The sequence below is a fragment of the Homo sapiens genome, chromosome 8 (assembly GCF_000001405.40).
Source record: "Homo sapiens chromosome 8, GRCh38.p14 Primary Assembly".
Lineage (NCBI taxonomy): Eukaryota > Metazoa > Chordata > Mammalia > Primates > Hominidae > Homo > Homo sapiens.
In genome coordinates this window covers 18,607,584-18,633,785 of record NC_000008.11, presented here as the reverse complement: position 1 = coordinate 18,633,785, position 26,202 = coordinate 18,607,584, and the positions used below count along the sequence as shown (strand labels likewise).

The following is a 26,202-nucleotide window of genomic DNA, read 5'->3' as shown; positions in this document are numbered from 1 at the left end:
CCTGTTACTGGTTATATACCTAAAGGAAAACAAATCATTCCACCAAAAAGACACATGCACTCATAGGTTTATTGCAGCCCTATTCACAGTAGCAAAATCATGGAATTAACCTAGATGCCCTTCAATGGTGAACTGGATAGAGAAAATATGGTACATACACACCGTGGAATACTATGCAACCATAGAAAAAGGTTGAAATCATGTCCTTTGCAGCGGCATGGATGCAGCTGAAGGCCATTATTCTAAGCGAATTAATACAGGAACAGAAAACCAAATACTACACATTTTCACTTAAAAGTGGAAGCTAAACATTGGGTACACATGGACATAAAGATGGGAACAATAGATGTTGGGGACTATTTTTATGGCGGTTGAGAAAGTAGCAGCTGTCACATGCCAAAGCACTGTGCCTGGCATCCCCATTCTAATCCATAGTAGCTTTGCCTGGGGTTTTAATATTAGGGACTAGCCTGGTTATTTGGGGGATATTGTTTACTATTGTCCATTGGACTGACTCTAACACTTTTGCTGTTTTCTGTACACCTAGTTCTATGCTAGACCCTGTAGAAATACGTAAGTCAAAATCATAATTCCTGCCAATAAACTCCCACTTGTTTGAAAGAAGACAAACATGAAAGCATTGTAAACGGTGAAAAGACCAATGACTTTAGGGATTTTATGATCATATCTTCATTATCTGTTCATCACTAAATCTGTGGCCTTGTACATTTAAACTCACTGAGTCTATTTCCTTATCTGTAATAGAGGATATTAATATCAGTCTTATAAGATATTGCCATGATCATTAACACCTGGCACACAGAATACATTTAACAAATGGTGTCTGTCATTATCATGGTGGTGGTTATAAAAAGTGATACACCATTGGAATACAATGTAGTTTTTTACAATAACTTACCTTTTTCTTTGAATATTATGATAGGTGCTTGACTCAGTCTTTGTGCTTTCTCCCTTTTAGAGATGATGAAGAGAAAAAAAAGTCTCCCTCAGAAAGTACTGAGGAGAAAGCTAACGGAACACATCCAAAGACCATCAGTCGTATTGGAAGTACTACTAACCCATTTTTGGACATTCCTCATGATCCAAATGCTGCTGTGTACAAAAGTGGATTCTTGGCTCGGAAAATTCATGCAGATATGGATGGAAAGAAGAGTAAGTATCATGCGTTGTCATTTTCTATTTCATTTATTTTATCTTTATGCTCAAAATTTAAAGGGAATTTATCTGAAAGTCAAGGATGAAAAAATTATGTTTATCTATAGACACATTCTTGAAATTGGATAAAGCCTCTAACCCTAAATTAAAAATCCAATGTGGCACCTGCTCTTCTCTAAGCAGAATTATAGAACTTTAGAAAGGGAGAACTCCTTTCAATTTATTCATTCTCTATCCATTCATTTATTTAGTCATGGCTTCAACAAATAATACTGACTACCTGCTGTGCCAGCCACCAGAAATACAGGGTTGAGCAGGAGGGACAAGGTTTCTGTCTTCATGAAGTTTACATTTCTGGTGGTTGAGGGAAAGGTTGAATTTGCAACGCATAGAAAAATTAATGGTGTAAGGTCCCAGAGACAAAGGATGGAGGGAGGGAATTCATATCCAGTACATATGTGGAATGACTCGCCTTTGAGAAGGTGGACAGGTGAGATGTAGGAGAGCATAGTATAATTAGTTTTGGGAAATTGAAGGAGCCTAATTGGATGGCTTCTGATTTTTCTGTGAAGTGTGAGGCATGATTATCTTGATCAATGATGGTGTTTGGAGTTTGAGAAGAATAGAGCATGCTTATATAGTTAGAATAATCTTTGCAGAGTGAAATAGCAATTTGATATACTTGAACAGAGTAAGATAAGGTGACATGTTTGCTCAGAATTATCTTTGGGGTGAAGAGATGGATAGTACCACTGTTTCTATCTGTAGCTGGATCCTTTTTCTTAATGTGTTAGCATATTCTATTAGCTTACATGGAGAGAAACATTGCAGTGGGGTGGCTTTGACATGGACTTAGCAATGCTGAACAAATTTCTTAATGTTCCCAAGTTCTTTAAGAGTGCATCCACCATATCTTCTGTGCACCTTATATACTAGATTACTAGACTACTTAATTTTATCCCACAACATTGTATCAGAACTCACTCATATAGTTGTGACAGCAAGTGAATCCATCTTAGCAAAAGGGCACACCTGAAGATGGATTGTCACCAGGACGTACTCTCCATTTCTATCTCTGCATGATTTTTTGTGTCAGCATTATTCTTTGGAATGAGGTCCTTTATACATGGTTATTAGCAGTGCTATAGATCACGTGTTTAATTTTGACACCAAAGAGGATTGTTCTTCTTCCCTAACTTCTCATTTAGTCTGTTCTAGGACAGGATTCTGACTTGTATCACTGAGAGGATGGAATATTGTGATTGACAGCCCCCACTTGCTTGCAATGACAGTAAGAATGAGATACTGGTCTCAGAGAATGGGAGTTCTTGGCACACAAAGCAATAGATACCCATTTGTTTCTTTCCAGTGTGCAGACACACCCTTCTTCATACATTGAATAATACTTTTGCCAAACATTGCAGTTTTCCTTTTACAACCACAAATATACCATCTCTCTGTAACATGCCTGCCCAACTGCAGCTTCTGTCTCCAAGGCTAAGATTTGTTGATAGTGTTCATTCCCCTCAGTCAGGTATGGATGGCACTGAAATCTATAGGCTAAGTGAAAAATACGAAAATACCGTTGTCCCTTAATATCTGTAGGGGATTGATTCCAGGGCCTCTGACAGGTACCAAAATCCAAGGACACTCAAGTCCCTGATATAAAATGGCATAGTATCTGCATATAACTGATGCATATCCTCCCATATACTTTAAACTGTCTCTGGATTACTTATAATATCTAATACTGTGTAAATAGTTGTTATGTTGTATTCTTTGGGGAATAATGACAAGGAAAAAAGTCTGTACATATTCAATGCAGACAGAATTTTAGAGGGAATATTTTCCATCCACCGTTGGTTGAATACACAGTTGCAGAACCCACAGATATGGAGGGTTGACTGTATCTGACATACCTCACATAAAGTACTAGAGAAAAAAAAAAGAATAATTTCAATTCAAGAAAAGTCAAAAAGGGGAAGTATAACAGCTATCACTTATTCGGAGTATTTACTACTTCCTGCTAGACAGGTATATAGCACAGTTAACCCATGTGAGCATCTTTTCATTGATTCATTTCCTAGCAATGGATTGACTTAATTGGTTAGTTTATTCCAAAGTCCCAGATTCTACTGATAAAATTTTCCTTGTCCACTGTTTTCCTGGACCCAGTGGCCCAGGAAACCTCCTCTATTGGAGGATTCTCCGGGTAGAAGCTCTTCTCCCTCAGCGGCCTAATACATATGAATATAGATACAGAACCTGAGGATTGCTTAGCAGTTGAGACATCACAGACACCTTGTACCAGGCTAGAAGTTTTTCTGCCATTGTATCTCCTTTAAAGCCTTAGTTAACTGTCTTGAGAATTTCTGATTGGTCAAGGCAGTTTTAAGTGTCATGGGGCTTTTGTCTTTGTAGCAAGTTAGGAAGTTCGTCCTGCTTTCCAAAGGAACCTGCCTCTGCTTGTTTCTATCTCTGTTCCTGCCTCAGAACCAAAGGGAAAATATATGGATGGGTTAAGACGTGCCCATCTCCAGGCTTCTTTCCTGTCAGTTGCTTTATCACTGGAGGACTTTTAACCTCTGTTTTTCCATGGGGCTATCAGGAGGAGCGTGGAAGTTTCAGCTGCCTTTAATTCCTCAGGCTCTTCCTGGATATCCCCATTTCAATTTCCCAAGGTTTCCAAATCACATTAATGTTAGCAGATAATTCAGCCTTACAATCCAGAATGTGCATGGTTTCTAATAATTTACAAAAACTAAAATTCACCAATTTAGAGTATATAGTTTGAGTTTTGAAAAATGTATAGTTATATAATCATCAACACAATTAAAATAAATAACATTTCCATTACCCAGAAAAGTTTAACTGTACTTTTGGCAGTAATTGCTTCTCGTATTACTCCCATCCTATGACGGTTATGACAGATGATTATCTGTCTTTGGGCCCTATACTTTTGCCTTTTCTAAAATTGCAATAAATGGAATCATGGGACTGCTTTGTGTTTGGCTTCATTCACTTAGTGTTATTCTTTGCAGATTCATGTATATTGTTAGGTGTTGTGTGAATTAATAGTTTCTCTCTTCTTATTGCTTAATAAGTATTCCATTATTTGGATATCCCACAGTTTATTGATTCACCAGCTGAGCATTCTGGTTGTTTCCAGTTTTGAACTGTTATAAATAAAGCCCCTATGGACATTCACATATAAGTTTTTGCACGTACATATGTTTTCATTTCTTTTCAGAAGTTACCTAGGAGTAAAAGAGTAAGATTGCTTCACCATATGCTAAATATATCTTTAACTTTTTAAGAAATTTCTAAAGTTTCTATATCATTTTGCATCCCTTATACCTATATATATTATGTCTTCCTGATGATTTGACCCCTTTGTCATGAAATGACGTCCGACACCCCTGGTTATATTCCTTATTTTGGAGTCTACTTTGTCTAATATTAATACAGCCACTTTAGTTTCCTTCATAGTTTTTGCATGCTATACAAATTTTGTTTCTAACTTTTTATTGTTAATTTATGGTTGTGTCTTTAAAATTGCTTTCTATTATATGGAATATTGGTGGGTCTCGCTTTTTATTGTAAATCACAGTATCTGTCTTTTAATTAGAGTGCCTATACCATTTACATTTATAGTAGTTATTAGTATAGTTGACTTTAAATCTGCCGTCTTACTGTTGGTTTCTTATTTATTCCGTCTGGTCTTTTCCTTTCTTGTGTAGGATTATTTTTTGTGTGTGGTTCTGTTTTTTGTCACTATTGGCCTGTTTGCTGTACTTCTTTAATTATTTTAGTGTTTGCTGCAAGGTTTACAGTGTACATCTTTAATTTGTCACAGTTCACCTTCAAATTGTACTGCTTCATTTATGGTTTGAGACCCTTATAGCAAGTTAATTCCCCTTATCTCTTCCTAGCCTTTGTGATGTTGTCCTATATTTTAATTCTATGTTCTAAAACTTAAAGTAGTTCATTGTTAATATTTTTGCTTTAAGCAGAAACCTTTTTTTTACTTTTACCCCCACATAACTGCTGTCAGGAATTTTTCTCATGTTTTATCAGTGTGAAAATATCTTTATTTTCACCTTAATTTTAGGAATGTATATTCACTGGGTATAGAATCCTTTGGCAGGTTGTTTTTCCTTTCAATACTTAAAGATGATGTTTCATTTTTCCCTGCCCTGCAGGATTTCAGACAAAAAAAGTCTCCTATCATTCTTATCTTTGTTCCTCTGCACCCAAGATGGCTTTTTCTGCTACTATGAATGCTTTCAAGATTTTTCTATCTCTGGTTTTCATCAATTTTATTATGTGATGCCTTAGTGTGATTTTCTTTATGTTTTCCTTATTTGGTGTTTATTGGGGTTCTTGGATTCATAGGTTCATGTTTTTTTCAGCCATTATTTCTTAAAGCCTCCACTCCTGTTATGGGACTTGTTTGCTATATGATACTCAGTGCTATCCCAAGGGTTTCCTGAAGCTCTTTCCAATATTTTTAACTCTTTGTCATTTCAGTACTTTATTTGATAGTTTTTATTCTTCATTTACTTCATTTTTCATTTCATAATCAGCATGTTTATCTTTGAAGTTCAACTTGGGTCTATTTTATATCTTCCGTTTCTCTCCTTATCAGGTTGATGTTTTTCTTCATGTCCTTGAATATATTTATTCTGTTTATAATTGCTTTTTTAAGGTTCTTCTCTTTGATAACCTTCCTTTCTGTCGTTTCTGGAACTGTTGCATTATTTTTTTTCTGCTGGCTTTAGTCATAGTTGGTTTTTTTTTCCTTTTTCTTTGCATTCCTTGTAATTTTTGAGTGCCAGACATTGTGAATTTTCCATTTTTCAGGTGCTACTTTTAGTTGTATTCATCTAAAAAAAACACTGGATTTTCTCCTGGTGTGCGGGTAAGTAACTTGCAGATTAACTGAATTCTTTAGACGCTTGCCTTTACCCTTTGTTCTGGTGGATCCAGAGCAGTCTTTATTCTGGGACTTATTTAAATATTTCCATTAATAAGGCATTCTTGTTCTTCTTCAGCCTCTTTCCAATATGGCATGTATTACACAGTCTATCCACTCTAGCTGATGAAAACATAAATTCTTCTTAGCCCTGTGTGAGCCCTTGAAATTGTCCATCCCACTACTTTATTTTTCCCATGCCTTGAATTATTTCCTTTCACTAGTGCTAAGATCGATGCTACAGCCAAGAGCAGAGTATCCTCTGCAGGTCTTCAGAACCATCTGTTTTTGTAACTCTCCCCTCTGTTTTACGCAGCTCTACAAATTCTAGCCCTCTCAGCATCACTAAACTCCTTTCTTATCTCCGCATCACTAAACTCCTTTCTTACCTCCTCAACTCAGCATGACTCACAGGCTCTGTTTAGGTACCCTCTTCCACTGTTGGAACCGAGACTCTTTCTCTAAGCAGTAAGCCAGTCTTAACTCATTTGTTTCTTTCTCTTCAGAATTATAATCCAATGTTTTCTGTTTTGAAATGTCTAAAAAGTTTTGTTTTATATACTTACATAGACTTTTTAAGTTATTATAGTAGGGCAGTTTCTATAGCAGTTACTGTTTCTTGGGCATAAGCAGAACTAAGCTGATTCATGATCCCTTTTGTTAAGAAACGTCTTTCCAGTTGCTTCCCGCTTTAAGACCTAATATTTACTGAACTATGAAATTAATAAGGAATTCTAAGCATTCAAGTAAAAGCAAACAGTTTAGTTATATATTTGGAGATGTAGAAAAGCTTTCGTTTCCTTCCCGTCTAATCCTGTCTCCCCCACCAACCTCATTTGTTGGATTTTCAATCATGTCTGGTTGAACAGGTTTATCTAACTATTTGGCTGCTGCTCCTTCTTGGAAATCTACCAGAATGCCTTAATTGTTTCTGAATGTTTTTGCCTTCTTCTTTTGAGAGATGGTCACTATAAACAAATTAGAGAAATGTTTTATAGTAAGGACTTACACAACCTGCTATAAAACACATCACTTTTTATTTACACTACACAGAAAAAAATGAAAACAACAGTGGAGCTTTCCTGGAATAGGAGCTCCAAATAATTCTGAGAATCCTGAATGCTGTTTTTTGGACACAAAAAGTAGATACTTATTTTCTAAATACTTACTTTGATTAAGCATGGTCACTATAGGTAGACCTATATTACATTTGTATGTAAATTTAAACCTGGCCAGGTGCTCTGATGACAAATATTACAAAAAGTGTTTTATAAGTGAAAATTTGAATCAAAGCTGCATGGAAAGGTTATTTTGTTTTAAATGCTGATACACTTGTCTCAAATGGACCATTTATTTCACTCAAGATTTGGTGTCTTTTTTTTTTAATTAACTTTAAACATTCAGTTTGTCAGACTGCATCCATATTTTTAAACCTTGGAGGTTTTCTTCATTTTTTGCCTTTTAAAGTTATGCTCAGTTCAGAAATTCTGCCTCCAGGAGACAAATTGTTGTACCTATCTTAGAAGTATGTATTTTTACAAAGACCTATTAAATCTGACATTAAGGGAAAGCTTTGAAAAGTCAAATTTGGAAAACAAAACGCATCTCCTGGGTTTTGTCAGATACAATAAAAAACAAAATTCAGTATAAGCTCTTAGTTTTCTCAATATGATGTAACATACTTGTGGAAATCAAGAAAGAAACTGGAAACAACATACCCAAAATATAAATGATCTACACAATAACAATAGTGATAATTAAATGATTGCTAAATATTAGAGCTTTATCCTAAGCATTTCATGCATTAATACATTTAATCTTGGTCCTATAAAGCAGATATTATTATTGTCCTCATTTTATACATGAAGACACTGATCCTAAGCATCTTAACCAAGGATGTAGTATAGAATAGCAGTGTATCTGGTGGAACAAAAATCTGATTATACCAAACTAATAGTAGCATATTGTTAAAAGCAATTCCGATGAGAAAATATGCTTATGAAATGTTTAAATTCTGCATTTTTTGTGTAGTTGGGACAGTCTGTCACTGTGTAGCATGTATTTAGATAACTGGAGGTCTCAAGCTAGGGACAGTGAAGCCTGAACATTTCTTTTACTTGGCCAACACAGTGCTGTTTAAACACTGAATTGCCTGGATGTAGGCATTTTCTGGTTGACCATAGTTTTCACAGCTCCCTGTAGCCTTATACCAAACTTCCTCATACATTAAGGGGGAGAAGTACAGTAGGGCCATGTTGACATTTTCCAAGATAATAAGACATACAGATAGGATGATGGGTTGGAAAAGAGAACCCAGAAGCAGCAGTCTCCAGTGTTTATAAAAATTTGATGGATGATATAGAAAGTAAGTCAGATAATTAGAAGCAAAAATTCTTCCGTAATTTATGTTGAGAAGTGTGTGTGTGTGTGTGTGTGTGTGTGTGTGTATTCCCCACCTCAGTTCTAACACAAAAACCAGTTTCACGTAGATTAAAGATAAAAATTTGAGAAACAAGGTTCTAAGATTTTTAGAAGAACATGTGGGACAGTAACTTCATGACTTTTGGGTAGAAAGTGAATTCTTAAGATTTATAAAAGCAGCTGGGTACAGTGGCTCACACCTGTAATCCCAATACTTTGGGAATCCAAGACAGGAGGATCACTTGAGCCCAGGAATTCAAGACCAGCCTGGGCAACATAGCAAGACATCATCTCTACATATAAACAGGCATACGTATATACATACATATTTACAAAAACAGTAAAAAAAAATTGATATGTATAATTACACTAAAAGTAAAGACTTTATATTAAAATTGTACTTAAAAATGAAAGATAATTCACAGATTAAGATACTTGTAGCATATTACCAATAAAGGATTAGGATCCATGGTAATATTTATAAAGAAATTTTTTTTTTCATTATTTTTTCTTTTATTCTTTTTTTTTTAATACTTTAAGTTTTAGGGTACATGTGCACAATGTGCAGGTTAGTTACATATGTATACATGTGCCATGCTGGTGTGCTGCACCCATTAACTCGTCATTTAGCATTAGGTATATCTCCTAATGCTATCCCTCCCCCCTCCCCCCACCCCACAACAGTCCCCAGAGTGTGATGTTCCCCTTCCTGTGTCCATGTGTTCTCATTGTTCAATTCCCGAGAAATTTTAAATTACTTATAAAAAATACAACTCAGTAGAAAAATGGGCAAAAACTTGAAGAGGCCATGCTCAGAAAATGAAACTGAGATGATCAATACATATATGAAGACATATTCAACCTTATTGATATTCAAGGATATTCATTAAACATATAGTGAAATGTCATTTCACATGTTACCTTGACAAAAATTAAAAGAATACCAAGTGTTGGTAAGGATTTGGAGCAATGGGCCCTCTTCTACCCTGCAAAAGTATTAGTGGTATCATTTGTACTTCAGAAAGCAGTTGGCAATAATAAAGTTGGAAATGTTTATTCTTATATCTCAGTTAATTAGTCATAAGGGTGTATACACCTATAAAAACTCTTAGTGTTACAGAAGTCATGTTTATAGCAACATTATAATAGCTCAAAATTTAAAAACTTAAATGTCCATTAATAAGAGATTGAATGGATTTTGTATATCCATATAATTGAAAAGGAAGGAGCTAGAGTTCCACGTATCAACATGGAGGAATCTCACCAGTGGTAATGTTGAATGAAAAAAAGCGGCTTGCAGAAGAATCTGCACGTAAGATAACATTTGAAAGCATGCAAAACAATACTATTTTTAGTAAGAATACATTCATATATTGAAATTATTAAACATAGAATGGTTGTTACTTCTGGAAAGGAGAATAACAGGCAGTCACTGACAAGTACCCAGTGGTTTCACTATATTGATAATATATATTTTTTACATTTGGCGGTAGTACATGTATACCTACTTTATTACTCTTGATAACCTTTTGAAGTCTTATATGTTTTACAATTTTTTTTTTTTTTTTCTGAGATGGAGTCTCGCTCAGTAACCCAGGCTGGAGTACAGTGGTACATGCAATTGTAGCTCACTGCAGCCTCAGACTTCTGGGCTCAGGTAGTCTTCCCACCTCAGCCACCCAGATAGCTGGGACTACAGGCATATACCACCATGCCCAGCTAATTTTTTTTTTTTCCTTTTTCTTTTTTTTTTTTTTTTTTTTTTGGGGAGACGGGGGCTGACTATATTGCCCAGACTGGTCTTGAACTCTTGGCCTCAAGCAGTCCTCCTGCCTTGGCTTCCCAGAGCGCTGGGATTACAGGCATAAGCCACTGCTCCTGGCCTATAAATAAAATTTTTAAAACTCAATAGAACATCTGATTGCATGGAAAATTTAGAAACATATAAGGATGTTTTTCTTAAAATCTGCACAGGAAAATTACAATTAGAAAACTCAGTAAACAAAAATCCGTAGCGACAGAAAACGGTGACCAGACACAGTGGCTCACGCCTGTAATCCCAGCATTTTGGAAGGCCAAGGCAGGAGGACCGTTTGAATCTAGGAGTTCAAGACCAGCCTGGACCATATGGTTATAGCTGTCTCTACAAAAAGATTTTTTGAATGAAAATTGAAAAGAAAAAATGACTTTGTGATCGCCATCATTATAGCATAATTAATAATTTAAAATCTTACCATAGTAATAGAATTTTGGTTACTCACATTTAGATATGTGAAAGATTTAATTGTGGTACACATTAAAATATAAATATTGTGCAACTTGAACCTGTAAGAGTACAGATGATAGAAGGTGGGAGGTAAAACTGGATAGAACTAAGAGGGAGCAGGGAGAGAGATCCGTTAAGCTCCTCTTACAGAGAGGAAGTCAGAAGATGCTGCCTGTACTGGAGAAAGAAGAAATAATGTCAGTCATTATTTGTCAAATTAATACATAAGAAAGTGGCAACTATGTGAGGTGAAAAGTATGTCAGTTAGCTTCCTTGTGGTAATTATTTCACCATTCATATGTAAAAACATCAAATTGTACACTTATGTACAATTTTTATTGGTCAATAACACCTTACTAAAGCTGGGGAAAAAATTTTTCACTAAAATAATAATAATGTTATGCTCCATAAAACTACAGAGGTAATCAATACAGATACAAATAAAAGCTATGTAAGTATATTGGGAAGATGGAATGGCATAGTTAAGTTTGTTAAATTCTCATCTAGCACAGCACAAAACTGAGAGTGTGTTTACAGCCTATTATGACACAGTGGTAGAAGCACATTGTTTAGGGATATAATGTCACTTAACGACTCGGAGAAGTAATTTGTTTCAAAAGGTTTTTTTGTAAAATGGGAACAGAGGAGGTGGGAAGAAATGAATCAAAGGAGGCTAATTGTGTGGACATATCACTTTAATAATTTTAAAATATTTTAATCACATTCTTTTATAGATTCTTTAGTCATTGTACAGTCCTGAGATTAGTTCTGAATTTGAAATATTAAAATATTCATCGCTTTTTAAGGAGGTGAGAACTATGTGTGGTTCAGCTTTTCAATCTCATTGTAAATACTGTGGATACAAGGAGTGGTGTGGAGCACCTTGACAAGGTTGGAGAGGTTCACTCACTTTAGAGGGATTTACACACCTGCCTGTCATCAAAAGTTTAGAAAATTTAGTCCCACATGTCAAATTTAAGAAAGTAGAATTTATTCTGAGTCATCCATACTGAAAATAGTTTATAATGGTAATGCAGGCAGAATTCTTTGCTATCGTGTAACATTGGGAACAGCGACACTATAATTAAGAGATAATAAAAGTGGAATTTTTTTTCCCAAAAGACAGTTGTGTCCTCCTGTTAGAGCAAGACTCTTTAAGTACAGGCAAAGCCAAGCAATTATTTTAAAACTAGGCTAAGGTTTTCCCTTCCCTTGGCACTTGGCTGTTCTCTGGCAGCAGGGTGTGTAACGGAGCAGTTTAAGATGTTAATACAAGGCCAAACAACAGCACTGTGAGGGCAGCCATGTGAACGCGCAGGAGCACCTTGTCACGTGACTCTCTAGTTTTAATGGAATATTGGCTGTTTTAGATAGGAAATACCCCATTCACAATTCAAAATTTAGACTAAAAGATTAAGTTCTAGGTTTTTACATTCCGTAATGATGGCTCATGTCTTTAAAATCCATGCTTTCTGGCAATAAAGTCGGTTGAAAGAGGTCCTCCGCCATCATTCTCATCAGGAGCAATAGTCTTTTTTCTGAGACGGTGTCTCACTCTGTTGCCCAGGCTGGAGTGCAGTGGCACGATGTCAGCTCACTGCAACCTCTGTCTCCCTGGTTCAAGCAATTCTCCTACTGTGGCCTCCTGAGTAACAGGGACTACAGGTGTGTGCCACCATGCCGGGCTAATTTTTGTGTTTTTAGTAGAGAAGCGGTTTTGCTGTGTTGGCCAGGCTGGTCTCAAATTCCTGACCTCAGGTAATCTGCCCTTCTCAGCCTCCCGAAGTGCTGGGATTGCAGGCGTGAGCCACCGTGCCTGGCTGGAAGCAATACTCTTGACTAGGAACAATGGAATATAAACTGCCAATCTTATAGCACCAAAAAATCTGTGTTCAGAATCTCTGAAGTATTTTTCTGAAAGAGGAATGTTCAGTTTTCACTGTGCATGTGATTTTTAGAGGTTATTCTATTTTCACTGCTGACTCGTTCTGTTTATGATTTCGGTTTAATTAACATTTAGGAGAAAGAAGAAAATAATTCTTCCATCCCTGTTGTGGTAATTTAATGCAGTGTGTCAAATTCTTTAATAATCTGATGAAAATTTGAAATTAAAAATACCGTACTAGTTTCCTAAAGGAATTAATCATGGGGATAAGAATGTATATGCAAAAGATGTTATCACTAATGTTAATGGAAATATCAAACTCTGCAAAATGTTTTCTCTTTTTTTCTTTTGTTGAGACAGGTCCTTGCTCACTCACCCAGGCCATAGTGCAGTGGTGTGATCTGGGCTCACTGCAACCTCTGCCTCCCAGGCTCAAGCAGTCCCCCCTACCTCAGCCTATTGAATAGCTGGGACCACAGGAATGTGCTGTCACACCCCACTAATTTTTTATTTTTTATAGAGATAGGGTTGCACCATGTTGCCCAGGCTGGCCTCAAACTACTGGGCTCAAGTGATCCACCAGGCTTGGCCTCCCAAAGTGCTGGGATTACAGGTGTAAGCCACCATGCCTGGCCCTCCAAACTCCATAAAATATCTTAAAGAGGTTTATTCTGAGCCAATGTGAGTGACCACAGCCTGGGGAAAAAAAAAAAAAAAAAACACAAACCCAAGAACCCTTCAGTAAGTAGTCCCGAGACAGTCAGGTTACAGTTTGGTTTTATACATTTTATGGAGATGAGTTACAGGCAAAGACATAAATCAGTACATGAAAGGTATCCATTGGTTCAGCCCCAAAAGGTGAGCATCTTGAAATGGGGGCTTACAAGTCATAGGTGGGTTTTAGGGATGGTTGAGTTATTGGTTGAGAGAGTTAAGCTGTTGTCTGAGGACTTGAAGAGTAGACAGGAATGCTTGAGTTAAGGAGGCTCTGGGAGCCACGGCCCTTATCACGTAGAAGCAGCCTCATGGGTGGCAGCCCTCAGAGAAACAGACTATAAATGTCTCTTTTCAGACTTTTGAGGTGTTGGGCTCTTAGCTAATCTCTCCTACATCTGGGAAAGGCCTAGAAAGGGAAGGCCTGGCTGCATCAATGGCGATTCTCCAAAGATGTTAATTTCCCCCACAAAGGACGGCTTTGGAGGGTCATTTCAAAATAGTTCAAAGAAATTTATTTTGGGGTAAAATATTGTGATTGCTTTCAGGGTCTGCTGTCATGTGATGCTATACCAGAGTCAGGTTGGGGAGTAAGCCACGTTATACCAGGTTAATAAAAATCCATTTAGTGAAATTTTATGGTTAGGGTGTGACTTCACCTTTGCCTCACATGGCCACACGGCCTTAGGTCTTTTTTTTTTTTTTGAGATGAGGTTTCACTCTTGTTGCCCAGGCTGGAGTGCAGTGGCGTGATCTCAGCTCACTACAACCTCTGCCTCCCGGGTTCAAACCGTTCTCCTGCCTCAGCCTCCCAAGTAGCTGGGATTACAGGCACGCACCACCACACCCGGCTAATTTTGTATTTTTAGTAGAGGTGGGTCAGACCTTGTTGGTCAGGCTGGTCTCAAACTCCTTATCTCAGATGATGCACTTGCCTCGGCCTCCCAAAATGCTGGGATTACAGGCATGAGCCAGCATACCCCAGTGGCCTTAGGTCTTGTTTATAATCTGGTATCTTATTGCCACACAGAGTCTGTTTTGATCAGTCTTTTGATCTGCATTTTAACCGTAATGCTGGTCAGTCGGGCCTGAACTTGAAAAGGAAGTGGATATAAGGAGGTGCATCTGAACTTCCATCCCATCGTGGCAGGCATTCAGTTTTTTAGGTTTCTTTTGGTCAAGAGGGGGTCCATGCAGTTGGTTGGAGGGCTTAGGATTTTTTATTTGTTTACACTAGATAGACCTAAGAATTTGAGCTTTGAAGCAAGATAGATCATTGATTTATTTTTTAAAAAACACTTTGAGCTCAAGCAGTATGCCAGTAATACTCTTGGTGAGGAGGAGTAGAGATAGAGGATATGCCTTGTTACTCGGCTGAGAACTGAATTACAAAAGGAAGTTCCGTGATATCTTTGGACACAAAGGTCATGGATAAGCGTATTCCACCACAGCCTGAGCAACATATTAAGACCCCATCTCTACAAAATAAAAGAATAAAAAGTTAGCCAAACATGGTAGCATACGCCCCTAGACCCAGCTAGTCAGGGGGCTAAGGTGGGAGGATTGCTTGAGCCCAGGATGTTAAGTCTGCAGTGAGCCATGATTACACCACTGCACTCCGTCTTACAAAAATAGAAAAGAAAAGAATATCCCATTAGAAAAAAAAAATGCAAAAACCTTAAGGTGAGAGCAATCAAATACGGCTAATACCTGTTATGGTGTGTAGTACACTGCCTGGTACATAGAAGGAATCCAGTTGTTATTTTAGTTACAAAATAACATCATTTTAGAAACAGTTTAATGGCCAATAAAATGTTTAATAAGTAAAATATGATAGATACAGCAATAGAATTTCATCATTTGCCATCATTTTTAAAAATGATATTGTTGACAAAAAAAAGCCAAAGTCTGTAAAATATTTGAAGAGGCTTATTCTGAGCCAGATACAAGTGACCATGGCCCATGACGTAGCCTCAGGATGACCTGAGAACATGTGCCCAAGGTGGTTGGGTTATAACCTGTCTGTATACATTTTTGGGAGACCAAAGTTATAGGCAAAGACATAAATCAACACATATAAGGCATGCATTGATTGATTTAGCCCAGAAGGGCAGGACACCTGGAAGCAGGGGCTTCCAGGTCATAGACGGATTGAAAGATTTCCTGATTGTCAATTGCTTGAAAGACTTAAGCTTTATCTGAAGAGTTATAGTCAGCATAAATAAATATTTGAGTTAAGTTGAGGGGGTGGTGGGGTGGAAGCCAAGGTTCTTGTTATATAGATGAAGTCTCTAAATAATAGACTTCAGAGGGAATAGATGTCAAATGTCTCTTACTGGACCTTAAAAGATACTAGACTCTCCAGAAAAGATTTAGCAAGGGAGGGAGATTCTCTATAGAATGCAGATTTCCCCCACTAGAGACGGCTTTGCAGATCATTTCAAAATATGTCAAAGAAAATGCATTTTGGGGTACAATACTTTGATTTCCCTTAGGACCTGCTATCCATCATGTGATGCTATATTAGAGTCAGGTTGAAATTGGTATCTTAGTGCTACTAAGAGTCTGTTTTGTCAGTGTCGGGATCTCCATTTTAGTGTTAGTGCTGGTCAGTTGTGCCTAAACTCCAAAGGGAGGAGGGCATAATGAGGCATGTCCAACACCCCCTTTCTGTCATGTCCTAAACTGGTTTTTCAAGTTCCTTTGGAATCCCCTTCACCAAGAGTAGGGTTCATTCAGGCAGTTGGGAGCTTAGAATTTTATTATGGGCTTACAATGTATGATATATAAATATAAGAGTTTTGTTTGTTTGTTTTTGAGATGGAGTTTCGCTCTTGTCACCCAGGCTGGAGTGCAATGGTGCAATCTCGGCTCACTGCTACCTGCGCCTCCCAAGTTCAAGCGATTCACCTTCCTCAGCCTCCCGAGTAGCTGGGATTATAGGCACCCACCATCACGACCAGCTAATTTTGGAATTTTTAGTAGAGATGGGGTTTCACCATGTTGGTCAGGTTGGTCTCGAACCCCTTACCTCAGGTGATTCACCCACCTCAGCCTCCCAAAATGGTGGGATTACAGGTATGAGCGACCATGCCCGGCCAGTAGAAAAGTTTAAAATTAACAAATATAATATCTCAGTTTGTTTTGCATGTGTGTACATAGTAAAATGATTAGAAGGTTCTATACTGTAGGGGTCATCCAGGAAAAAAACTTCCCCATCACCCTCTGAAGGTTCACTGAAAAATCAACTCACCAAAGCCAGGTGAATGAGAGAAAAGGTGTACAAATTTATTAACATGCACACAGGGGAAAATCATAGATTGATTACACGACCCTCAATGGAGTAGAGAAACTTTTACCTTATAATTGAAGTTACAGAAAGAATGGGGGCTTGGATCAAAACAGGTTATGAAAAGAGAGGAAGATGGCCGGGCGCGGTGGCTCACGCCTGTAATCCCAGCACTTTGGGAGGCCGAGGCGGGCGGATCACGAGGTCACGAGATCGAGACCATCCCGGCTAAAACGGTGAAACCCCGTCTCTACTAAAAATACAAAAAATGAGCCGGGCGTGGTGGCGGGCGCCTGTAGTCCCAGCTACTTGGGAGGCTGAGGCAGGAGAATGGCGTGAACCCGGGAGGCGGAGCTTGCAGTGAGCCGAGATCCCGCCACTGCACTCCAGCCTGGGCGACAGAGCGAGACTCCGTCTCAAAAAAAAAAAAAGAAAAGAAAAGAGAGGAAGATGAGGCCTGGCTAGCAAAGGTGTTCCTGTTAAGTAAATGAAATCTCACAAGTAGGTGGTAAAACCTAGGCATGATGAGAGCGAGAATAGATGGTGAATGTTTCTTTCAGACCCTTAAAGATGTCAGACACTGAGTTAATCTTTCCTAGATCCAGACGAGGGAAGGCCTCGGAGAATGCCTGGCCACCATCAATACAGATTCTCTCCACAGATGCAAATCTCCCCCACAAAAGATAGCTTTGCAGAGCTACTTCTGTTTGCAGGGCCTCTGAAAGGCCATCTCAAAAATATGTCAAAGAAATGTATTGTAGGGTCGGGTATTTTGGTTTTCCTCAGTGAAGAGCACTTGAACGCACTGGACATCTGATAAATGGAAGAAACGTGGTCTGAGTTGGGAAAAGCTAAGAGGCCATCGTGGAGCAGCATCACCTCAGGTGCAGTCTGTAGCAGACCGTTTTCTGGCTCCTGCGCGTGAGTGGTAAGCCAGAGCCCTCGCCCTGTAATGAGGGCCAGGAACACCTATCAGTAGGCAAAGCTTGAAGTCACTTTTGGAGCTCCTAGGTTGGGGAAAAGCAAGTGAGGCTGTTATATTCCTTGGAGAACAGATTCTGTCTGGAGGCTGCTCATCAGCCACTTTGAGTTATTTTTATTGACCTTCAGCTGTTTTTGCCCGGAGGCATTTTAAAGATGCCCGTGGGCCTTGGGCTGTTTTACAATTACAATAGCTTATTTGAATTGCTAGTTGTAGAAATGCGTGCACAGCAGGGTCTTCGCTCTGTCCTTCCCTGGCTTCTGGGGTGCTTCAGAGGTTGAGGAAACCTGATTTGCTGTCACTTGACAAGCCCACTTGTCTGATTCAGCAGTTACCTGCCCTTCTCAGATAGACTGCGATGATTTAACCTTACATTTATTTTAACACCCTGCTCTTAAAAGGTATGTAAAAAGGTCTAGAAACTGCTCTAGATATTATGAAAAAAATCATAGTATGCTTGATTTTCTTGATCAATGTTCACACCTTTCACATAAACGAACTTATCAAATGTTATATATAAAGTTTCAGTGCTGCAAAAGAAAATATCACTCAAATATAAAATTTTCTTTTTAATTCTCAGCAAGACACGTTACTTCTATATAGAAGGGTGCGCCCTTACAGATGGAACAATGGTGAGCGCATACTTGGACAAGGGAGGGGAAGGGGTTCTTATCCCTGATGCCCGTGGCCCTTGCTGCTGTGTCATTCCCTTATTGGCTAGGGTTAGACCGCACAGGCTAAACTAATTCCGATTGACTAATTTAAAGAGAGTCACTGGGTGAGTGCTTTGGCAGGAGTCAGGGCAGAGCAGGTTGGGGGTAATTGGAATGAGTTAGGGTGGAGCAGGTGATTGGAATGTAGGGTGCAGCAGGTGATCAGAATGAGTCAGGGTGGAGTAGGTAATTGGAATGAGTCAGGGTGGAGTAGGTAATCGAAAAAGGTTGCTTTACGAGGAAGTTAAGTTTAAAAGTAGACGGCAAAGAATTGAACATATTGACATATTCTTTGAAAAGAAATTTAGAATTCATATCTAACATTGAATTTCAGGAAATTTTTGTTATGCCTAACTTTTTGAAGTGATTATTAAAAACAGCAAGTTCTCCAGCATATTCCTTCAGTCAGATATACTTTATAGAATTATGAGGCCTGTGCAGTGGTTCACACCTGTAATTTCAACACTTAGGGAGGCTGAGGCAGGAGGATCGCTTAAGCCCAGCAGTTCGAGACCAGCCGGGGCAACATTGCAAGACCCCGTGTCTATGAAAACAAAACAAAAAAAAAATTAGCCAGGCATGATGGTGCACACCTGTAGTCCCAGCTTCTCAGGAAGCTGAGGTGGGAGGATTGCTTGAGCCTGGCAATTGGAGGCTGCAGTGAGCTGTAATCACCCTGTCTCAAAAGAAAAAAATATGTATATGAAATGTCATTTGTTTGATAGAAGTTTGAAGTCACTTGTCACAAATGTTCATTCTTTAATTAACCCATGAAAACCCACAGTAATGTATTAAGCCTTATTTGTTCCTTTTAAGCCTGGGTGTTTACTGATACCTTATTCCCATATTCAATGTCTTATTGGAATAATCGACCACAGTTTTATTCTACCTCCTCTTTTCTCTTTAAGCATCCTGCGTTTTACCTAAAAGATTAAGCACTAAAAAAAAAAAAATTCCCGGTAATATTTGTTGAATGATGCCATCTACATGCTAGTTTAGGACATCTGATTTTTTTGGGGGGGGGATGGGGGAGAAGGGGTTAATCTGCTCTGTGGTTGCAGCAACAAACCAACGTACTTGCCTTCAAGGTTTTATTCTAATGCTGGAGAAGCTTAATAAAAACTTTGTGATAAGTTACACAGCTGTTAACTGACCCAAAGAAAAGTAAAGTCAAGGTTAGGAAATACTGAAGGAAGCATACACGTCCTATGTTGCAGAGAGTGATTAGAGGAAACCCCAGGATGAGGCATGTCAACTAAGAAGAGATGACAAACCAGACCGCAATGCAGTAAGACAAGACATTTATTGGGCCCTTAGGAATTATAATTCAGGAGACACAGATTTGGCTGTAAGCCAAATTGTGTTCCAAACCAAGTGAGGGTTTTTCAAAGGAAACTAAAGGATTACACAAGTTGTTTTGAAGGAATTATCATGGGTGGAGGCGGCCGGCTTAGCACAAGTCCATAGTTCATTTATTGTTGCTGTTTAGGAGTTGCAGCGCTGGTGAAATTCAGCTGTTTTTCAGGATATCATGGTTGTGGTGGTTAGGTGCACTTCAAAGATTCAAGGCAAGGTACTGGGTTGTTTTGCAAGGTTGCCAGTGGTGCAGGCAGCCCTGAGAATGGATTCTGCTTTAGAGCCCTGAACTGTAGTGATGCCGTTTTCTATGTTTCACAGATAACATTTGAGCAGAGACCTAACTGAAGTGAAGGGGCCAAGTCATGGTATCTGGGAGAGGAACATTCTAGCCATAGAGAATGTGAGGTATCATTCATTAAGATTCAAAAAATAATTCTGTGACTCTAGCGTTGCAGGAAAAAAAACGGGGTTCTTGTCACACGACCAGGAAAGATTAGGCTCGCAGACACGTAGAAGGGTGACAAGTGGAATTTATTAGGCAGAAATGAAAAAGGAAATACGCATCAGCAAAGTGAGATAAGAGTCCTGCTAACAGGCTCTCCATCTCAGGGATTAAATCCCACCTTACCACACAGAAACGAGAGAGACCAGGCTCCTCCCCCCTGCAAACAGTGCAAACTTCCCAAGGCCCCACCCCCTCCTCCCAATGTGCAGATGGGCGTTATTCAGAAAGAATCATTTGGGGAAAAGGGTGGGCTTCATCCGGACCGGCAGTCTGGTTTTTCATCCCTCATGCTGTTTTAGGCTTGAAGGCGGCATTTCGTCAGGTGTTGGGGGCAGGAGGGGTCCTTGGCTGCCTCCTGTCTCTATCACTGGTGTTTATATTTTTCCTGAAAAAAATGATGTAGTGAGAGTCATTTTGGGATTTGTTGCTTCCCACACACGTTTCCGGTAACCCTTAGCTAATGATGCATGCTCTTGTGTTCTGACCTGTTTTCCAACCTCAGCCCAAGCCATGTAAATTCTTCCTGCACGTCTAGTAATGGCTGCCAGTGAAACCGTCTCCTGGCCAAGTGGGGAAAGATACTTGTTTTTAAGTTAGATCTGAGCGACTCTGTGGCTCATCTTTTGGGTAGAAAGTTCTCCAACAGCTTTTGTCTCTTCTATTGTCTACTTTTATTGTTTGCATTCATGTTTGATATCTCCAATGTCAATACAGGACTTGGGACAAAATGAAAACAATAAATATATTAATCGGAGTAAATGTGTCACACTTAGCTCTCTTCCCAGTTAAGGGTGGTATGTGCTAAGTGTTTCTGTTAAAAATGCATCAGTAGGCCGTGTGCGGTGGCTCATGCCTGTAATCCCAGCACTTTGGGAGGCCGAGGCAGGCGGATCACGAGGTCAGGAGATCAAGACCATCCTGGCCAACATAGTGAAACCCATCTCTACTAAAATACAACAACATTATCCAGGCGGGTGGCGGGCGCCTGTAGTCCCAGCTATTGGGGAAGCTGAGGCAGGGGAATGGCTTGAACCCAGGAGGTGGAGGTTGCAGTGAGCCGAGATCACGCCGCTGCTCTCCAGTCTGGCAACAGAGCAAGACTCCGTCTCAAAAGAAAAAAAAAAATGCATCAGTAACGTTAAAGCGGTGTTCTCAAACATTGACTTACAAAAAAAATTCCGAATACATGAATGAAATGTCAACCTGAAGTAACTGAAAGCATCAGAATCCAATTTTAGAGTTTATTCAAGCAAGAATCTGGGAAACATGGACTCCAGAGAAATGAGGCCAGTGCTCTGAAGTAAAAACTTAAGGTCTTGCTTATATATGGGCAGAAACAAAGAAATTTAGTAGGATTGTAACTTTTTTTTATGTAAGGCTGCTTTGTGGGTTATAATAATTTAGTTATTTTTCTTTTCCGTACAGCTTGTTTTTCTTCTTTACAGCTTGTTATCATTTACTTCACAATTTAAAAGAGTTCATTTAACATTCCACCTTAGACAATGTGATAGTCATCATCAAGTCTTTGTGTGAGAAAGGTAAGAGGGAAATTAATCTGTAATGAAGATCAACAGTTAAGCAAGAAGGGGTCTTCCCTGCTGCCTTTTAGTCATTTGCAACATTTTACAAAACAGTGTAGATAAGGAAAAAGGCTAATCTATAATCAGACAAACAATCAGAGAAGCAAAGCTTACAGCTTCCTAGGTTACAGCTGCCTGTTAATGTGATCCATCCAGGTCCCTTAATCACATTCCCTTAAGGCTCTAATAAAGTTCCAGCAACTTAGATTTAAATTGCTTATTTTCACAGCTTATTTTCACAGAAGTGAGAAAAAAAGTCTTTCTTTGTGTTTTAGCATGAAAATTTGATGCATTTTCTTTAGCAGACAGTATCTTTAATTAAAAAAAAAATCCAAAGGATTGCATATATTAACTCATCTAAGTCTCAGAAAAACTGTTTTATACAGGAAGAAAGTAAAGCATAGGACTGGCTAAGTGACTTGTCCAAGGTCACTCAGGTGAAGCCAGTATCTCAAACCAGGTTCTCTGGTTCTAAAATGTGTCCTCTTAAAAAATAAAAAATTATGTGTTTTAACTGTTGTTCTTAGGCTGTCTTGCTAAAGGATGATGATCATTTGCAATGTTTTGAGACTTCCAAAATTGGGATCCACATTTTGATTCCATGTCTTCCTGCTAACATACTGTACAAAAGGTGAAGGTTAAAAGAAAAACCTTTTTTTTTTTTTTTTTCCAAAATCCTACATTAAATTACACCCTCATTTAAAGTGTTCTCTAACCTCTAAATCCTATTCATAAGCAGAATTAATGACCTCCTCCTTGTTTTACCTCCTGGAATCCCCACTGTGATTGTCTTAGGTTAGTGCCATGCTACCATTTAGTTTATACAGTTTATCATGTTAAATTAACTTTCATTGTTTATGTTACTGCCTGTATATGTAAATTATTTAGGGGTAGGGTATGTGTCCTAATAATCTTATGTACCCAGATTAACTCAACAACATTATAAAGTAATTATGGCACATCGTAGTAGATTCATTGTATAGATTTTTAACCAGAGATGTTTAGATTACTTGTCCAAAAGCGGAGAAATAGTGGGCATCATGGTGTGAATAAAATCTAAGTGCCTAGCTCCCAGTTTATGATACTTTCTGGCATTTCAGAACATTTTAGGGTAAAAGTCTTGAGACCTCTTATAGGAATAGAGCCACATCCAGAATGAACAGCACCCCACTAGGGAACACTTTGAATAGAATATTCTTCCAATTCTCTCTTTGTTTTCATTTCTTATTCTCTATCAAAATATGCATTGGTTGCTATTATATAAGAAAAGGAAATAATTTTCTGGGAAAAGCAATAGGTATAGGTTCTGTTAAAAGAAAAGCTTCAGCCCAATTAAATTTAAAGGAGTTTAATTGAGCAATGAATGATTCTGAAATCAGGCAGCCCCCAGAATCACAGCAGATTCAGAGAGATTCCAAGGATGCCTCGTGGTCAGAACAAATTTATAGACAAACAAAGGGAAGTGACATACAGAAATCAGCAGTGAGGTACAGAAACAACTGGGTTGGTTACAGCTCAGCACGTACCTTATTTGAATACAGTTCGAACACTCAGCAGTGTATGAGTGGTTGAAGTACAACCACTGGGATTGGCCAAGACTCAGGTATTGTTACAGGTGCATACTCCTAAGTTAGGTTTTCAATCTTGTCTACCTATTAAGTTAGGTTGCAGTTCATCCACAAGGACTCAAATAAAGAAGTATAGAGTCCTAAGGCCATATTTAGTTTGCTTTAACAGTTCCTACAAGGCTGCCCTACTTTTTTCCTTTATAAAATAGAGTTGACAAAGCATCCTTTTATAAAAGAGAAAGACTATAAGGATTAAGTGATTTTTTTTGTAATGTGTAAATTGCCTTAAGTGTTTCAAAGATAAGTGATTAGGAATATATAGTAGTAATAGTACTGTTTTAGTGCTACCACGCTGCTATAAACCAGGGATAATTAATACTGTCACTTGCTGAATACTGGAATACTGTGTGACTCATAGCCCAGTGGTAAATTTTCCTTTGCTCAGCTTGGACTTGATTGCTTCAAGCAGTAATCTAAAAGTGCCTGAGCTGCTCTATTAATTAAGATGTAATAGAATATCTTGTGATGCCTGAGGATATTTTGTAAAAGAAAGTTAGAGGTTAATATACAGGATTACCCTTAACTTCACTTAATCATCTGTGAGTCTGTCATCTATGAACTTATTTAAATTCTTTGCACATCAATTGCAGAAAGCAGACTCCTCCCTGCGTGAGTTGTATCTTCAACTGTGTCATTGATTAGAACTTCAGAACTCCCTTCTTATCAAGGTAGCCTGTTTCTTCATGCTTTAGGCTACATACTTTAAGGATTTTGTTTTAAAGATACTTTAAGTTGTTTAGTTCTATCACTGAGAAAATAGAACAGTCTTAAAAATGCCTTGTGCTTTTTACAGCTAGTATAGATGATGTCTCACTTATATTAGTACAGAACTTCTGCTAAGTATATCTTTGTTTTCAAGTTCATTAAAGTGCTGGGTTTATTTTGGAATGCCATCATTGGGATTGCTTTATATTGTGAATATCTTTCTCCGTTAACCTCAGGAAATTCAAGATATTTTGCATTAGAACTACCTCATCCCCACATACCTGTTTCTTGGCCTGGCAGGATTTGCATTGTCGGCCTTCACGCCAAGACTCTTGGTGAGGCCCTGAAAAATAAATTACTTCTCATTAATGTGTATATGGCTAATTCTCTCTCTCTACTCTGAGGGGAATAAAATGGTTTTTTTGTCATTTTACATGGAACAATGGGAGAATATTTTCAAGACAACAGACAGGAAGTAAAGATTAATATGTTAAATGAAAACAATAGGCAATGCTCATACTATGTCTTTCTATCCATATTATGACTTTCTATCCATATTATGACTTTCTGATAGTAAACATGAGGAAAAGGAAAAAAAAGATGATCAGGGCACCCAGAGAGATGAGTGGTCAAAAAACAGGACAAGATTTTGATGTAGGAACAAATGCTCTGCCATTTGAATGAAATAGAAAATTGGAACAGTAAAATCTTAAACACAATCCATTTCCAGTTCAGTTGAGAAGAAAAGTTGGAGAGTATAGCATGCAAATATAAACTTCTGCATGAAGCTTATACCTTTTGGTGGATTAAAAAAAAACTTTTCTGGCATAAATCCATTATTACTCGTTAATGAATATTTTATTGTTTAGAAATATTTTATATCTTCCTCTTTATGAAAGAGGGGTGATACTGTCTTTTCATTCCCCGTTAAGCATTTCACTTTTACAAAAATCAGTGGTAATAACTAAAGCCAAAATATTATTCACTGTACTTTATATTTCCAAATATGTTTCTTCAAATTAGTAATAAAGAGAAAATAATAACTGGTTTGTAATATTTAAGATTCAGTGATGGCTCCAATATCACCCATCTTTGGAGGAACTGCCAATTTTTCTATTGCAGAAATGTGGTCTTCATGTGTATGTGAGTTTGACTCAGAATAACGATCACAGCAGCTTGTTGGTTTCATTCACTTCTTAATTTCACCCATACTGGTCAGGAAGCAGCCCCCAAGCCAGAGCTGATACTCAGAGACTGTGTACTGGTACAGACCATTTACTGTGGATGTCCCTTCAATCTGACTGGAACAGTGCTTTTCCCAACAGCTCAAGGTAGCTCCTGAATCAACTCTTAAATAATTTTTTTTTTGAGACAGGATCTCACTTTGTCACCCAGGATAGAATCCAGTGGCACGATCATGGCTCACTGCAGCCTCAACCTCCTGGACTGAAACAGTCCTCCTACTTCAGCCTCCCAAGTAGCTGGGAATATAGGCATGCATCAGCATGCCTGGTGATATGGTTTGGCTGTGTCCCCACCCAAATCTCATCCTGAATTGTAGTTCCCACCTGGTGGGAGGTAATTTAATTGTTGGGGGCCATTACTCTCATGCTGTTCTCATGATAATGAGTGAGTTCTCCTGAGATCTGATGGCTTTATAAGGGGCTTTTCCCCTTTTTGCTCGGCACTTCTCCTTGCTGCTGCTATGTGAAGAAGGACATAATCATTTCCCCTTCTGCCGTGATTGTACATTTCCTGAGGCATCCCCAGCCATGCTGAACTGTGAGTCAGTTAAACCTCTTCCCTTTATAAATTACCCAGTCATAGGTACATCTTTATTAGCAATGTGAGAATGTACTAATACACCTGACTTCCTTTTTTTTTTTGTTTTGTTTTTTTTTTTTGTAGCAGTGGAGTCTTGTTATATGCTGGGATTACAGGCGTGAGCCACCGTGCCCAGCCTCAGCTCTTAAGTAATTTTAATATCACTCCTAGATCCCAGAT

General features: G+C 38.4%; 1 protein-coding gene and 1 long non-coding RNA gene across 24 annotated transcripts in view, besides 1 other annotated feature; both read left to right on the top strand.

Annotated features, from left to right (window-relative positions):
* Window positions 1–26,202, top strand: part of PSD3 (pleckstrin and Sec7 domain containing 3) — a 557,503-nt gene that overhangs the window by 451,020 nt on the left and 80,281 nt on the right. For all 23 annotated transcript variants that reach the window (NM_001412865.1, NM_001412866.1, NM_001412872.1 and 20 more), the window contains one exon: window positions 980–1,173. In NM_001412865.1, coding sequence (NP_001399794.1) covers window positions 980–1,173 — 194 coding nt within the window. The remainder of the gene's footprint in view (window positions 1–979; window positions 1,174–26,202) is intronic.
* LOC124901896 (uncharacterized) lies at window positions 1,178–24,787 on the top strand. Its single transcript, XR_007060838.1, has 2 exons — window positions 1,178–21,823; window positions 24,084–24,787. It is a non-coding gene; the product is annotated as an uncharacterized LOC124901896 (long non-coding RNA).
* Window positions 17,642–18,186: an enhancer, noted in NCBI's record as "OCT4-NANOG hESC enhancer chr8:18473110-18473654 (GRCh37/hg19 assembly coordinates)". NCBI's record gives its function as "activates a minimal SCP1, AML or CMV promoter by ChIP-STARR-seq in primed H9 embryonic stem cells {active_cell/tissue: H9 hESC(primed)}" and the evidence as "EXISTENCE:reporter gene assay evidence [ECO:0000049][PMID:30033119]".